The 17,001-nt window shown below is 36.9% G+C and overlaps 1 protein-coding gene and 1 long non-coding RNA gene across 7 annotated transcripts in view; one reads left to right on the top strand and one right to left on the bottom strand.

Annotated features, from left to right (window-relative positions):
• MALT1 (MALT1 paracaspase) overlaps positions 1–17,001 on the bottom strand; it is an 83,013-nt gene that overhangs the window by 27,297 nt on the left and 38,715 nt on the right. For 2 of the 4 annotated variants that reach the window (XR_007066087.1, NM_006785.4), the window contains exons 7-10: positions 16,228–16,260; positions 13,072–13,098; positions 11,214–11,246; positions 3,930–4,133 (exon numbers count right to left, since the gene is read on the bottom strand). Coding sequence is in view for 3 of the 4 variants with exons in the window: in NM_006785.4 (NP_006776.1) it covers positions 3,930–4,133; positions 11,214–11,246; positions 13,072–13,098; positions 16,228–16,260 (297 nt within the window). In the remaining variant the exon portion in view is untranslated. Of the gene's footprint in view, positions 1–847; positions 912–3,929; positions 4,134–11,213; positions 11,247–13,071; positions 13,099–16,227; positions 16,261–17,001 lie in introns of all 4 variants that reach the window. The other 2 variants (XM_011525794.2, NM_173844.3) reach the window with 2 other exon arrangements.
• LOC105372146 (uncharacterized) overlaps positions 1–17,001 on the top strand; it is a 107,606-nt gene that overhangs the window by 53,038 nt on the left and 37,567 nt on the right. The gene's annotated exons all lie outside the window — the stretch shown is intronic.

The raw sequence follows: 17,001 nt of genomic DNA, 5'->3' as shown, positions 1-17,001 counted from the left end.
CCCAATCTAAAGATGAAAAAGTGCTTGAATGTCTTTAATAAATTGACAGGAAACGACAACAATAATAGGTACAATATTTTGAGCATTTTTAGTGTGCCAGGCACAGGGATAATTATTTTATCTTATCCTGTAAACCTCATTAATTTAGTTCTATCCATTTTGTAGATTCCTTTTGGCTTAGAAAAGTTAAAGAACCACAGTCACACAGCTAAGTCAGCAGAAAGCCAAAGCTTTGAACCCAGGCTAGCTATGCTAAGGCCCACTGCTTAACCACTGAGCTATGTGAACTGAACAGCTGCTCCGCTGCAGGCCGAATAACACTTTTGCCATATTCCGACAAGACTCCTTTACCGTTCTTCTACACGAAAGCACAACTAAGCTGCAGCAAGCGATGAACACAGAAAGGCTATGCAGGGATAGATCTCAGGCCAAAGGGTTACTTTTTATCCTGGCCATCTATACAACATAACTAGAAATCTTTCTCCTTATTTATCTTTAAGGACATGTATTTTTGTATTTTTAAGGACAGTTATTTCTGGTTTTGGTTTCTGTTTTTTATGTTTACATATGTTTAAAACTGAATTATTGTCTGTTCTGTTGCAACTTTTATTTCTTCTACAAACCTGCGTGCAATATAATATAAAAGGGCATGAACTCGAGTTCCTCTGTTCTCCGTATCTAGCTGTTCATGCTGAAATTCCTGTGACTCTGCCTTCCATCTTCCCCCACAGCCCTCAAGCACTGAGTCCCCTGGTAATATCAACTAGCGGTAAAGGCATAGTCCAAAAGAAAAACTAAAGGTTTCTTTATGATATGCCCTAAACCCTCAAGCCTCTACCACACTTACATTTAGTGTAGATGTGTCTGATGTTTGGAATATTCACAATACTTCAAAATATAATGCAGCCACCCTGTTAAGACACGAATCAGTAGGATTTAAAAGTTTTCTAGCTTTCTTAAGCTGACATTTTGCTTTAACATGCCTCTTTATTTTGTACTCCAAGATGACGTTTTTATATTGGGGCAAAGCTTCAGCCTAAACTGCAGTCTTGTCACAATTTTTAATATTTCTGGTTCTCTACTTCACAGGGGCAACTAAAGGATCTGTTTTTGTTATTTTGAGATGGAGTCTCGCTTTGTTGCCCAGGCTGGAGTGCAGTGGCATGATCTTGGCTCACTGCAACCTCCCCCTCCCAAGTTCAAGTGATTCTCCTGCCTCAGCTTCCCAAGTAGCTGGGATTACAGGTGCCCACCATCACGCTGGGCTAATTTTTGTACTTTTAGTAGAGACGGGGTTTCACCATGTTGGCCAGGCTGGTCTCGAACTCCTGACCTTAGGTGATCTGCCCGCCTTGGCCTCCCAAAGTGCTGGGATTACAGGTGTGAGCCGCCATGCCCTGGCCACAGGATTTGGTTTTAAAAGTCAAACAAAGGGCTTAAAAGCCAAGGTGAAAATATCAATAAGAAATGAGAATAAACAACCAAGGTAGTAATTCTTCATATGATTCCCTCAATCTTTAAATACTTCACCAATACAGAAACCTAAACTGATCAATATTTTTTCCTTACACCTCATCACTTCTAGTGAAGTTTTGGAAGCCTTTTCCTTTTTATGTCACGTAGGCACCTTAAAAGCTGAGATCAATTGTATAATATAAAAACAAACAACACCCCTGATGCCAGATTGAAAATACAGGTTGAGTATCCTTTATCCGAAAGACTTGGGACCAGAAGTGTTTCAGATTTTTTTTTTCCAGATTTTGGAATATTTACGTATACATAATGAGGTTATCTTGGGGATGCCACCCAAGTCTAAACATGAAACTCATTTATGTTTTTCTTTTCTTTTTTGAGACCAAGATTCCAAGTCTCATTCTGTCGCCTAGGCTGCAGTACAGTGGTGTGATCTTGGTTCACTGCAACCTCTGCCTCCTGGGTTCAAGCGATTCTTGTGTCTCAGCCTCTTGAGTAGCTGGGATTACAGGCATGCACCACCACGCCCAGCTAATTTTCGTGTTTTTATTTTATTTTATTCTATTTTTTTTTTTTTTGAGACGGAGTCTTGCTCTGTCACCCAGGCTGAAGTGCAGTGGTGTGATCTCGGCTTACTGCAACCTTCACCTCCCGGGTTTAAACCATTCTCCTGCCTCAGCCTCTTGAGTAGCTGGGATTACAGATGACTGCCACCATACATTTTTAGTAGAGATGGGATTTCACCATGTTGGACAGGAGGGTCTCGAACTCCTGACCTCAGGTGATCTGCCTGCCTTGGCCTCCCAAAGTGCTGGGATTACAGACGTAAGCCACTGCGTCCGGCCCAATTTTTGTATTTTTAGTAGAGATGGGGTTTCGCCATGTTGCCCAGGCTGGTCTCAAACTCCTGGGCTCAAGTGATCCACCCACCTCGGCCTCCCAAAGTGCTGAGATTACAGGCATGAGCCACCATGCCCAGCCTCATTTATGTTTCATATACATATTATACACATAGCCTGAAGGTAATTTTATACAATATTTTAAATAATTTTGTGCATGATACAAAGTTTTAACTGCGACCCCTCATGACGTAAGGTGTAAAATTTTCCACTTGTGGCATCATGTTGGCACTCACGAAGTTTTAGACTTTGGATTTTCAGATTAGGAATGCTCAACCTGTATAAGCCAATTACCAAGGTGGCATATTTGCATTGTATATTCTTTCATATTTTCATAAGAAAAAAATGGATGGATTCACCCATTAGTCATCAGTCCATAAGAGTTATAAATAAAGTTTTATTAACACATCAGCATAATAGCTGAAATCTCACATTTGAGGTGTTTACCTTGTTAACTTCATTTGTCTTTCTCTAAATCCTCACTATTTAGAGAGGGAAACTCATTTAAGTAAGATTTTGAGACTTTTCCCCATCCCTTACACAACAGTGTGGTAAATCTTGGGGGGAAAAAAAAAGCTTTTGTTCCATTAAAAATTCTACTTTGAGCACCATTAAAAATTCTGACCAAACTTGCCTTATCATATCAATCTAATTATAAATAACAAGAGTAAATTCAGAAATTATTAAAATAAAATAACTGGAAAGATACAGGAGCCAAACCGGTACTTTTTGTTTATCATTGCATGCCTAACAACAGGCCTGGAAATGTCACTTCCCTGGCAATCTGATGTTATTGCACAATGTCATGGAAGCACAATCCTGCAAAACACGGTTCAGATGAGCTCAACAGCTGGCCTTCCCATATTGAAAGAAATAAATCACCAAATAAATGATTAGCTAGTGACAGCACATTCTGTCTCCTTTGAAATTCTTTACCATATATGCAGTGTTAATATATTTAGGTGAAAGAATGGGGAAAAAACATTAAATATTTACTGTAAGAATTTTTGTAGAGGTACATTTCTAAGCATATCTGTATAGAACTTTAATTTACAAATTACTATTATATGCCCCATCCACCAACATTTCCTTGTTAAAATCTAGTTCTCACTAAAAGACTAGAAAAGACCATGCAATAGTTAGGAAAAGGAAACATACAAAATATACATTCTACTAGAACCTTTTATGCTACCCCCCTCAAAGAAAACCCCACATACTGTAATATTTTACGCATATGAATGTAAATTTTGCTGTGTGGTTATCAAGTTTTATTATACTGTGGCTCTATCAATTAAAAAAAAATCACAAAAGACAGGTAAGAATTCTAGTAAGAAAAATATGTTTTGACAAAACAGGAAACATAAAAGTAAAGACATGAAGCTAATTAGTTATTCAGATGGAATGAAGATCAAATGTATCATCTTAATAAGAAAAATAAAACTCTTCCATTCAACAACATGTTTACCTTATCTTTATCTGATTTTCAATTCTTAACCTAACTTGTATAATGAAAAGAATAATGGATAATTGTAAAAACAAACATTATAAATATCTTACCATATACTCCCTTGTCTAAAAGGAGTAAAAACTCATCCACAGCATTACGCATCTCATATTCAGTAAGATCCAACAGTGAAACCACTTTGAAGTCCAGCTGTCTCAGTAAGTTAGTCAATTCGTACACATCCACCAAAGGAGCTTTGAGCTTGGGGTGCTCCCGGTAATTCATATTTCCTATCAAAAGGGCAACCTTGTCCTTCGCTTTGAAAAAAAAAGAAAGGGGGTGTTTAAAGAAGATATAAAGATTAAAACAAAACCTATGGAGATGGTATTATAATAAAAAGTATGCTTTAAGATTGCATTATTTCATTTCAAATAAGATTTCATTATTTAATTTCATTTTAGAACTATTTATGTAAGCAGATCAATATTCTCTGAGGAACACAGATGCTAAAATCATCAAACTGAAATTAAGCATATTCACACTTTTGAGAGCCAGGCAAAGGATATTTATTAGCTGTATATGAAACATAACAGTAATTAATATTAAAGTTTACTTTTATTAAATTATAACAAAAGGGATATAATATTCAACTAGACTTTTGGAGAAAATTTAAACAAGGAATATTTGAAATTGGGTTCCCATCAAATTAGGTTCTGTTTTGCTGAGAATGGAAGAGGCTAAAAACAAGATAACTAAAAAAGGGACAGGAAGAATCCCATCAGAGTGAATGAGGGGAAATATCAAAGAGAGAGAGAACTTCACGGGTACTGTATTCTTGGTTTCTGCAGTAGCCATGTGGATGTACTACCGTCTCCTCTTAGCATCTTTTAAAAATACTCCCCCATTTGACTCAGATGAGGCTATTTCAGGGGTATGTGAAGATTTTGTGTATGAGTACCTTAAAAGTTCATTTTTTGAACTTAGTGCACTGAGACTTTGCTCAAAGATAATGTATTCTGATAGAAACAGTTTTTTTGTTCATAAGAGAAAAAAAGATCTGTATCTATGCCTTAAAAAGTAGCAGCTAGCTTAACCAGGTGTGCAGCCCATCTAAAACAGTGTGGAAAGCCAGACCTAGCTTAGTGCTTATGAGGTCTTCAACACGGTACCTTTCTTTGATAGCCTGGAATGGGGTCAATGGTTAAAAACTCAAGACCCACTGGTATCAAAGGGAAGAAAAAAATAAAAAAAAAAAAATAAAGAACACACCAAAACCTCAAGACCATCCCGTGACAATAATAGCCTCTGACGGCTTTCTTCTTGAGGGCTGACAGTGGGGCGTGTGCAGCACCCGTAATAGTAGCAGCAGTGACAGAAATGCCAGGGAGCAGAGAGACAGGGTGACAAGAGCACCTGCAGCCCCAGCCAACTGGCTGAAGAGCCGCCTGGGTAGAACTGCAGGCCACCCCCTCTGACGCAGGCCAGGACTTGGTAACCAACCCCTGCCACAAAGTGCTGCTAAGTAGTTTATTTGTAAGTTATTATGAATACTACTCTTATGAAGTTGAAACAGGCATGAATAATCACATTGCTGACTCGACGTCTACAATATGTAATTTCAGATGTTTCAAATAATTGAGATGATTATTTCACCAAAAATCTCTCTGGTGAAATTGCTTTTCTTTCCATGGAACACTTAAACCTAGTGTTAAAACTAGCATCAATTTAAAAGACTGTGACTCTCTCAAAGGATAAAAAAAACTCTACTTTGTGAAAAGCCTCAGTAATTTTATATCATGTCATCTCTATTCTATATGTACATGTTCAGAGATTTCTAGCCAACTGCCCAGTGTTATGAATATACATAACAGTGAAATGATACTTAAGCCGCATTATTAATTCAATGAAAAAGCGGAGAATACTCAGCATGGATTTCAATAGGAGGCAGCATAAAACTTAACATCACTTGTATTTCCTTTTTTTTGAGACGGAGTTTCGCTCTTGTTGCCCAGGCTGGAGTGCAATGGCATGATCTCAGCTCACTGCAACCTTCTGCCTCCCGGGTTCAAGCGATTCTCCCACCTCAGCCTCCCGAGTAGCTGGGATTACAGGCATGCGCCACCACGCCCAGCTAATTTTGTATTTTTAGTAGAGATGGGGTTTCTCCACTTAGGTCGGGGTGGTCTCGAACTCCTGACCTCAGGTGATCTGCCCACCTCGGCCTTCCAAAGTGCTGGGATTACAGGTGTGAGCCACCACGCCTGGCCTTTTTAAAATTTCTTTTAAAATAAACTAGTATTCTTACACTAAAGTACCTGCTACAGCAAGACTCTTAGCTGGCTGATCCACAGCACATTTTTTTGAGTCCATCAATGCTATTAGAATAAGGATCCAACCTCAACAGAGTGACAGACTCAAATCAGTCTTCTTCTAAGGTGAGGGGAAATGTGAGAATGCATTGTCTCTGCTTTACATCATTATAGTCCAAATCATAGGTTTACAGCAAGAGGTTAAAAAGTTACTGGGGTAGTAAAATGCTTGTAAATAATTCCATTTTTCCATGGAATACCATCATTTAATTATACACATCATAGATTTTTATTGGTAGAAAACAATTATAAGTATATAATAAAAAAATCACTGGGTCTTTGGGGAAATAAAATTAACTGTCAAACTAAGCATCATGGGATGTTTTTGCTGATATCAAATCATTATTCACTGGTTTTGTTCTCTATTTGGGAAAGAATACTTGGTACAGTTTACAGAATGCACGGGTTCAACAGTGTGAGAACTACAGGTCTTAAAACATATGTATCGATAATTGTCTATAACACTTCTAAAATTTTCCTCCAATGATAATTTTTAATAGCTAGTTCCTAAGATGTCTTACAGCATTTCCTTGACTTTACTGGTGAAAAAGATGGTGGGTAAGTAAATCTTACCTGTCCAATCTACTTGTAAAACAGTTCCTGGGTGACAGGTGAACTGGGGTGGATGGAAGATCGAGAAGTAGTAGAAAGGGAGAGGAAAAAGGACACGACAGAGAAACGAACAATAAAACTTGAATTTGAGGAGGTAAGAGTGAGGAATAAAGAAAACTTCAAGACGGCAAATATAAAGCAATTTATAATGGTTTTCAAGTGATAACATAAATGAAAGAGTTTTTCTGTAGAAAAATATTTACTGTAAGAGCTACCCACAACTTCTTGAACACAAACAATTTATTGGAAAAGTGAAACAAAAATGCCAGTGGATTCAGCAAAAGAATAATGAAGCCACTTCAGAAAGACATTTTAACTCATGATCCTAAACGTCTTCCAAAGTTTAATGTAATATATTCTTCAAAAACTGGTGTTATATCATTAATCCCATGTCTAATAATTCTGATTATTATGTTACTTTTCTAAATAGAGTTAATATTCAGAAGCACCTAGAAAAGGAGCTGGCATATAGTAAATGCTATTAAGTATTTATTTAAAAATCACATGTATTAAATCTTTTAATGACTCTCCATGTCCTACAAAATAAAGTCCCAGTTTGATGGTGTGGGTGAGGAACAGGCAGCTCAGTATTGCTGGAAGGTAGAGGACTAGGGAAGGAGTGGCTGGGGGTTAGACTGGTGATGTAGTTTGGCATTCAAGGCCATTTGCATTCTAGTCCATGCCTATCTTTCCAGATGTGGTAGCAGGTAGCCCCCAGCAAACCACAGTATCCTTGCCCTTGTGTAGTACAGTCACCCCCACCTGTGAATCTGGGCTGTATCACGACTTTCTTTGAGCAACATAATATGTGTGACCCCTCTGCCAGTTCAGGGTCTAAGCCCTTAAAAGCTCTGACAGTTTCCACTTTGGAGATCCAGCCCGACATAAAGAAAACAGCTACATGGAGAGACCACTCAGGGAGGGAGAAGGAACCAAAGGAAAGAGGGAGAGGGAAACGAAGAGAAAGAAGTTGGGGGCGGGAAGAGGAGGGGAGGACAGAGAGAGACAGACAAGGAGAGGGAGAGACAGAGAGACAGAGTAAGAGGAAGAGAAAGAGAGAGAGAGAGGGAGGGAGATTTTTTCAGTCTTCACAGTCTTTCACCAACCCCCACTAAGGTGCCAGGTATGTAAGCAAAGCCATCTTGAATGTGGCAGTCCCAGCCTCATCTGACTGCAGTTGCATGAGAGACCCCAAGAAAGACCAGCAGAACCACCTGCTAAACCCAGTCCAACCCACAGAACAATGAGAGATAATAAAACTGATGCTGTTCTTAAGCTAGTAAATTTTGCAGTGTTATTCAGCAATAAATAACTACATTACCAGTATAGCCTCCAGCCACTCCTTCCCTAGTTTTCTACCTTCTAGCAATACTGAACTTTGTTCCTCACCCACACCATCTATTTCATGCCTCCATTCTTACCATGTCTTCACCCTTTTTTCCCTCTCCTTCATTTCTGAATGAACTCTCATCCCATATATTTTCATTTTATCCCCTTGAGAGCTCCCAATTCGTCCTTGAAAATCCTCACCTTGGCTTTGCCTCTTAGGTAAAGCCCTCTCTAACTCTCCTCGACTAATCTGATCACCATCTTCTATGAACAATTTCTAGATTCTTTACATATTTCTACTAGGCATGTAGCATGTACTATATTATTCATTTAATGTCTGCCTCCTATTAGTATCCAAAGCCTTGAATTCACAAACCAAGGCTTGTTCTCTTGTTTCATTAAGCAGCGGTCCCCAACCTTTCTGGCACCAGGGACCAGTTTTGTGGAAGACAATTTTTCCATGGACGGTGTCAGGGGAGGGGTGGTTTTGAGATGAAATTGTTCCATCTCAGATCATCAGGCATTAGTTAGATTCTCCTAAGGAGTGCACAATAGGGTTCACACTCCTATGAGAATCAAATGCCGCTGCTGATCTGACAGGAGGCAGAGCTCAGGTGGTAATGCTCGCTCACTCGCCTCCTGCTGTGTGTCTCAGTTCCTAACAGGCCACAGACCAGTTCTGGTCCACAGCCTGGGGGTGGGGGATGCCTGTCATAAAGCACAGATGAAACATTAGATAAATGTTTAGTGAACTTCAATGATAGAAGTTGACCTGATATTCCATTTATCTTGTTATTCTTTCAATTGGGACATGTTTGAGAAAGAATACCTGGCATAATGGAGCTAACGGAGGCTATGGAATGAGAGATAGATGGGTTTCAATCCTGTCTCAACTACTACATTGTATAATCCTGAGCAAGTTTTATTAAACACTTACAGTTTTAAATTTTCATCTACTAAAAATGAGGAAAAATACCTACATCTCAGGGTTAAATTAAACATTTCACTAGGTGAAAACACTTAGTTTATTAGCATTACTATTAAATGCATATTTGTGATTAAACCATCTTCAGCAACTAACCCAGTTACATTTGGATCTTGTCATTTTGTGTACCTAAGACATATGTATGCTCCTCTCTACAGAATATGATGGCTATGCCTTTGTTCAGAACACTATTTTAATAGGTATTTCTTAATCAGTGAGGTCTGTCTGGAGGATCTAAAGAAAAGATCATGGAGCTGGAATACATGAAAACTTACCACTATGAATGAAACATAGCAGGTTTCTTTTTTTTTTTTTTTTTTTTTGAGACAAGAGTCTTACTCTGTCGCCCAGGCTGGAGTGCAGTGGCACAATCTCCACTCACTGCAACCTCCGCCTCCTGGGTTCAAGTGATTCTCGTGCCTCAGCTTCCCGAGTAGCTGGGATTACAGGCGTGTACCACCACACCCAGCCTATCTTCTCTATTTTAAAGCTGAGATCTGCTACAGAAAAAGCACACAACTGATCTGAACCATTATAAATTCTTACTCTTTAAAAGTCTTAGTTGGACTCTCAATACACATTCACTTGTAGATCAGACTTGTAAGACCTTGCTTCCATTTTCTTTAGCCTCTAAGCCTCTGCCATAGAATAAGATCTATATTCAGCCTTACTTTACTCTTTTTCCCTCAATCTTTTTTTTTTTTTTTGAGACAGAGTTTCACTCTCGTTGCCCAGCTGAAGTGCAATGGCACGATCTCAGCTCACCACAACCTCCACCTCTCGGGTTCAAGAGATTCTTCTGCCTCAGCCTCCTACGTAGCTGGGATTACAGGCATGCACCACAATGCCCAGCTAATTTTTGTATTTTTAGTAGAGACGGGGTTTCTCCATGTTGGTTAGGCTGATCTCAATCTTCTGACCCCAGGTGATCCTGCCTGCCTCGGCCTCACAAAGTGCTGGGACTACAGGTGTGAGCCACCATGCCCAGCCTTTTCCTCAATCTTTTAAGCATATTACTACGCCTAATTACTTAGAAACAAAAAACATAAACTAAAAATGTCCTCAGCTTCCCAATAAATCTATCTGTTCACCAATCTCTCCTTCTTTTTAATCTCAAAAGAGGTTTCAACATTCTGATTAAAGCCAATTTCTCTTGTTTTCACCTTGGCCCAAATCCCTATCATCTCTTCTAGGAACTTGCTCTATAAATTGTCCTCTCTTTGATGGATCACTCTAATCTACACAGTCTCAACAGATACTTCCTTTCCAAATGTAAATATCCTCACATTTTCCCCTCCTACCAAAACACTTTGAATATATGCCCTATCTAGTTAATTTCAAACCACTCTTTCTTTCCAACAAATTAATATGTACTGTCTTCATTTGTTCACTTCTGAATCTTTCTTTTTCCACTATTTTATACATTGTATCCATGTTTAAATTCCCAGCATAACTCAGTAACTGACACATATTAGGCACTTTCAACATTCCACTCAAAGCCACCAATCACATCTTCAGTAGCTGAATCCAATGGACAAATTTTAGACATATTTTATCTGGCTTCTGCCAGCATCAAGCTGTTAGCTATTTTTACCATCTTTAAATGTTAATCTGCTAAACTTTTATCTGCTAAAGTTTTCTCCCTTACATTTTCTTGTCCCAGGCATTCTTCAAATGCAACTGTTCGTTTACATTTTATCCTAAATTCTTTTCTCTTTCCATTGGAGAAGACAGGGGAGCAAACGCTAAAGCTACTGCAGCCTTTGTGATTTCTATCCCTCACCAAGAGACAGCACTAACCACTTCCTCCTCTATGCTAACTATGCAGCATGTACATGTTTCTTTTTGTACGCATGTCTGTTTGCATATCGTGAGAAACACACAAATCACTCCACAGAAGTTGACTTGACCCTAGAAACTGAATTTGTAATCATTTTTAAGCCTCCTCTTCTAAACCTTCTTTTACAGATACAAAAAAATAAAACATTTGGTCCCAATGTTATTCACATTTCTTTAAAAAACCAAATTAAAATGTCTTAAATTCCTTCTGGAGTTATACACAATAATTATACTTTGATAATGCATTTTAAAGTTCTACTCACCCAAAGGCTGGTCAGTTGTTTGCTCTTTATTATCTATACAAAGATAAAAAAGCAAAACATGTAAGATCCATGGTATATTTCCAGAGTTAAAGATACATGAAAAGTATATAACATCAGCAGCATCACTTACAGAATATAGTTTCTACTCTTCAGATTTTTAATAAAAACACTCTTGAATGGAAAAAAACGATGGTGGTGTTCACAATAGGAAGTAGCAGTAGTTACCATTTCCTGATGCCTCAGCTGGCACCGTTCTATATGCTTTATATATAACAGATCTAATGAAACCTCACTCTACCCTATGAGGTGCCTACTATTATTAACCCCATTATATAGATAAGGAAATTAAGGCAGAGAGAGATTAAAGTCACTTGCCCAAAGTTATGAAGCTAGTAAGTAGCAAATCTGGATACTAACTTAGGGAGTCTCCTTCTGGATTCTATGCTTTCACCCTCTAGTATACATAAAATAAAATCCCGCCCCGCACCTGAAGCACCATGTAGGGAAAGATGTAGTTCATCAGTTGTGTGTCCACTACTGTCGGGAGATAACTTTGTACTACTGGTCAAATACATGCCACTGAAGCCTATTAAAAGCTTTCCCTATACAACATTCTTCTTTTAAACCTAAATTTTTGGTACTCCCTGAATTGTGGGAAATGAGGAAAAACTCAAAGGGCCAGGAAAATTTTAGAATCTTAGTGGTGGCTATTTACAAAAGTTTTTCTGAAATAACTTTTCATAATGTTCATTAAAGAAAAGCAAGAATTAACAGACTAATTTAGGAAAGGGGATTCTATCCAGACCCCCTATTCTCCCCCAGTAAGAGAAACAATTACTAGGATGGTTTTTGACAGTTCAAGACCTACTTGAGGCAGGTCTCATTGAGGCTTTATGTGAATTTGAGGACACTACAGCAAGGAGAATGACGCACAGGTAATGGGGACTTTCTGCTGTGTCTAGTTTGCTTATATACAGTCAGCACAGCCCAATGGCATTCACAATAATAGATGTTTGCTAATGCAATATGAGTATGACACTAAGCAAACTAGTAATGATGCTAAAATAATGAGAAATAAGTGGAGAAGTAATAGGGTTTTCTACAAATATTAAATGACATAACCACCTTCTTAAACTATTCCTGAAAGGTTTTATTTTCAGATCTATCCACAGGTTCCATCATTGTCTTTCAGAAAGCCTACACGAGGTTGATATCCTGTGTCTTCATGTAGTTCTCACTGTTGATATGCCTTTTATCTCAGGTGAAGGCTTAACTTATTAGAAATCTGTTCTAATTAAAATTAGCCTACAGAGTTCTACATACTCTTGACAACTGTCACTCATTAAGAAATGGTCACTGACCAACCGACCTGTACGATGCCAATGATCCCCACAAACACACTTCTTACTCCAGATATAGGCACCCACCCAACTAGTTCAGATATGCTGTATGACTGAGGCACCAAGAAAAAGGTCCCAGGGGTCTGATCAGTTCAGAAATGTTACCCCTGTCACTCTGTCAAACACTGCTTCCTGCTTTCAGATTAAAGGTCACGTACTTCCCCCATTAACTTCCTTGTTATGATATAAGGAGTAATACACAATGATAATACCTTGAGGTTTTATGTTACCTCAAACACTTCTTTTCTACCCTTACAGTTTTATAACCTAAAATATTTTTAATGTATCACTTGTATAAAATTGTACTTCATGTAGTTAATTTCAACCTTAAATTATATTATTTCAATAAAGAGAAAAAAGTTACTAGTATTACTGTAGCAAAAGAGTACCTACGGTAACTTTGCTGCATTCAACAACTTAAAAATCTAAAACTAAAGTTTTATGTTTGTATTACTCACCAGGATGACCAAGATTATTTAATTCATCTAAAACAAAGTAAGAGAAAATAGATTAAGTAATCTAAACACCAATTTAGCACAAATAGTAAGACTAATCCAAGTAGTTTTGAGCCAGTGAATCATGTTATAGTGTTTTATCAGTTTACAACTTTTCAAATTAAATGAAGAAGCCATGCAAATACTGAATAGCAAAGAATAGTGAATATTGCTGTGCTTATCATTTAGGACTTCTAAGCCATCACTGTTTTCATTAAGTGACAAAAACTAGGCTCTTTCATAATTTATTCATAGTTTTAGATATTCTGGCTAATTAAAAACAGTAATCTCAAATGATCTTTTTAAGTCAACTTTTAATTTTAGAACATTTTAAGGTTTACAGAACTACTGTGAAGGTAGTGCAGAGAGAGTTCCTATATACCCCATACCTAATTTCTCTATTATTAACATCTTATGTTAGCCTAGTGTATTTGTCACGTCTTATGCTAGAATAGTATATTTGTCACAACTAATGAACCATTAATGGTCTTTTTTGCTCAGGGACTCCATTCAGGATCTCACATTACAACTGCTTGTGTCTCCTCAGGCTTGTATCTTCTTGGTTCTGACACCTGCTCAGGTGTTCCTTGTCTGTGATGACACTGACGGTTTTGAGGAGTAACTGTCAGGTATTTTGCAGAATGTCACTCAACTGAGATTTGATGTTTTTCTCATGGTTAGATTCATAGTTTCTCAAGGTGTAAGGTGTTTTTGGGAGAAATAGTGGTTTCAGAATTAACCTGTACCCCATGGGACATCTTATCATGGCCAATGGATAGGTAAAATAAGTAATGACATTATAGCTATCTATTTTTTCAAGTTTTATGAAGATAAAAATTAACATTAACAATAAATTACAAATGTTATATACTATTCATACTTTTTTAATGTAGAAACTTTATTCTTATATGTTACATAAAATCAATTGAAGAAGGTCTGAGTCAGCACATGTGTTATGTGCAATTTTTTTTGCCTTCAGTATTAGGCTCAACTCATTCCCAGTTACTTAGTTATTTAGGTCAGTAGCACTGTACTCTTTCACCCCTCTTCAGTGAGGCTGTACCATACATTTGCAATACAGTTAGGTTCTTTTCTTATAGTCTGTATTCCATCTTGGAATCCCCCTCCTCTGACCTCCTAAATGATTAAAATTTGTATACATGTATTCATCATTAATCATACAGAATAGTTCCACTGCCCTAAAAAAATCCACCTATTCAACCCGCACCCCTCATCCTGATCAAGTATCTTTTTTTCATTCATACATAATAATCGTACATATTTATGGGATACATATGATATTTTGACACATGCATATGATATATAATGATCAAATCAGGGTATTTAGGATATCCATCATCTCAGACACTTATTTCTTTGTGTGGGGAACATTTCACTTCTAGCTATTTTGAGAGACATGGTAAATAGCTGTTACCTATTGTCACCCTACTGTGCTATCAAACACTAGAACTGATTCCTTCTAACTGCAGGTCTGTACTTATCAACCAACCTCTCTTCATCCACCCCCAAGCCTCTTGCCAGTCTCAATCTACTCTCTACCTCCATGAGATCAACTTTTTTAGCTCCCATAGATAAGTAAGAACATATGATATTTGTCTTTCTGTGCCTGGCTTATTTCACTTAACATAATGACTGTTCCATCCATGTGGCTGCAAGTGACATCATTTCATTCCTTTTTTATGGCTGAATAGTCTGATCAAGTCTCTTGAATAAAATACACAAAATGAAATAGAGGACACCATGCTAAATAGGTAAAAATATATATATAATAAAGGACACTGTTCATATGCAATTCTCAATTTTGTGGACTTTCATTGAAAAAAATTTGGATCTAATTTTTTCATCTGAGACTTCTGGAGAAACTTCGTAACTGGATTTTCATCTCTATATGTTCTAAATAGAGTTATTTGAAAATTATTATTTAATAGTGTGCTTGCTACTGCAAAAATTATAGAGAATACTGCAGGTACAGAAGCAGCACAGCAAGGTGATAATTCACATGCATCACCTTGGAGCCAAACAGCGGGGCTAGCTTATATTTATTCTTAAGAGGTTTCCAACATTAGGAAGACTTAAAAACCATGCAATTAGGCAAAAAGGATTAGGAGAGGAAGAGGAGTTCGATTAGGATTTCTTCACATGGCTTCCCTCAAACAGGGTTAACAGATCATGGGATTAGAACTCTCTTACAAGAGAGAATTCTTGTTTGCAACTACATATTAGGATGAAAACAGTAATTATAGTATTTCAGAGTGATACTATAGAGACATGAAGGACAGGAAAATCAGAAAATATAAAATTTAACATTATTTCCTTACTTTACCCAAGTAGAGCCTAAGCTTATGTAATAGAGGCAGAAATTGAAAAAAATACTTTGCCATCCACAAATCTAATTTTGCAAAACAATGTGACATCACACTAAGGAAAGATGATCCAAATTTTAATATTTACTCATTACAATTTAAGTACAATGCTTTGGCTAATTAAAACAAATTAGAAGTTTATGTTGAAATAGATTTTCAGTTCCCTTTACATATTATGGTAAAGGTGACATGGTAGATTATCTAGAGTCCTGTAGCTTCAAAAAATCCTGATCAATTTTATATTAATACAGAATATTTAATATTTCATAGAACATATGTTAAACAATAAATCTCCTCTCCTGAAACTTTTATAAAAACTAAATTTCATTTGAGAGCATCTAATCATGGCTAAAGGACAGACAAAATAATCTAAAACAAATATCCATGATCACGTAGCCACCTATCTTTCTTACAAATTTTATGTAGATAAAAATTAACATTAAGAATTAATTGCAAATGTTCACTACTCAAAAGATACAATGCAGGAACTTTGTTCTTATATGTAATATTAAAAGAAAGTCAACTGAAGATTAGTTATTGTAATACTGTGTCAATTTAATCATGTCTGTCCATTTATAAAACTTCAAAGATTAAAATACAATATTCTTCAATCAAAATCATTTCTTACAGCTAGTATTTTTTCCATCACTGCACTCAGTAGGCTAAAAGCACTCCACCAATCCCAAGAGTAACTAGCATGCAGGAGATTTGGTTTCAAACCAAAGACTTACACTACCTTCAGTGCACTCCACTGCCTCATCTGTTCTTCCTTGTTTCAGAAAAAACAAATTTGAATATATTGTAATTCATGATCTTAAGAAGGGCAGCCGTCAAGCAAATAGAGATCAATATCATAGAGATAATGTTGGCAAACCAACACATGCATCAATACCTCCAACTATGAACAATATAACTATAAATATATTAAGCTGAAATATAACAAATTCCCAAATTACGCAGTTAAGAATGGGATTGTTAATAACCTTTCTTTCCTTTATATGTGTATAATGTTTGTTTTTAAAAATGTTTTATTAAAAATCTTTTTCTTTTATTATTATTATTTTTAATTCAACCTCCCAGCCTGAAGCAATCCTCCCACCTTAGCCTCCCAAGTAGCTGGGACCAAGTGCATGCCACCATGCCTAGCTAATTTATTTATTTATTTGTATTAGAGATGGAATCTCACTATGTTGCCCGGGCTGGTCTCAAACTCCTGGGCTCAACTGAACCACCAACCTTTGGCCTCCAAAAGTGATGGGATTACAGGTGTGAGCCACTGCACCTGGCCAAAAATCTTTTCCCACTGAATCAAGTTTTTTGTAGCTAAAGCTTTAAAGAATACATATTTTATCATAAGTGTTGAAAATAAACTGTAACTAAAATAATTTAAACAAAATGGCTTTTTTTCCTGATTCTTTTTGCTTTCTGTGAACCTAGATTATGATTTTAGTATGCATTCTTTCAAATTTCAATATAAACAATATAACTTCTAATGCTTAACACATCATTA

This window comes from Homo sapiens, chromosome 18 (genome assembly GCF_000001405.40).
Source record: "Homo sapiens chromosome 18, GRCh38.p14 Primary Assembly".
In the NCBI taxonomy this organism is placed as follows: Eukaryota; Metazoa; Chordata; class Mammalia; order Primates; family Hominidae; genus Homo; species Homo sapiens.
Note: the sequence above shows the minus strand (reverse complement) of the source record. Positions and strands in the feature narration are given on the sequence as shown.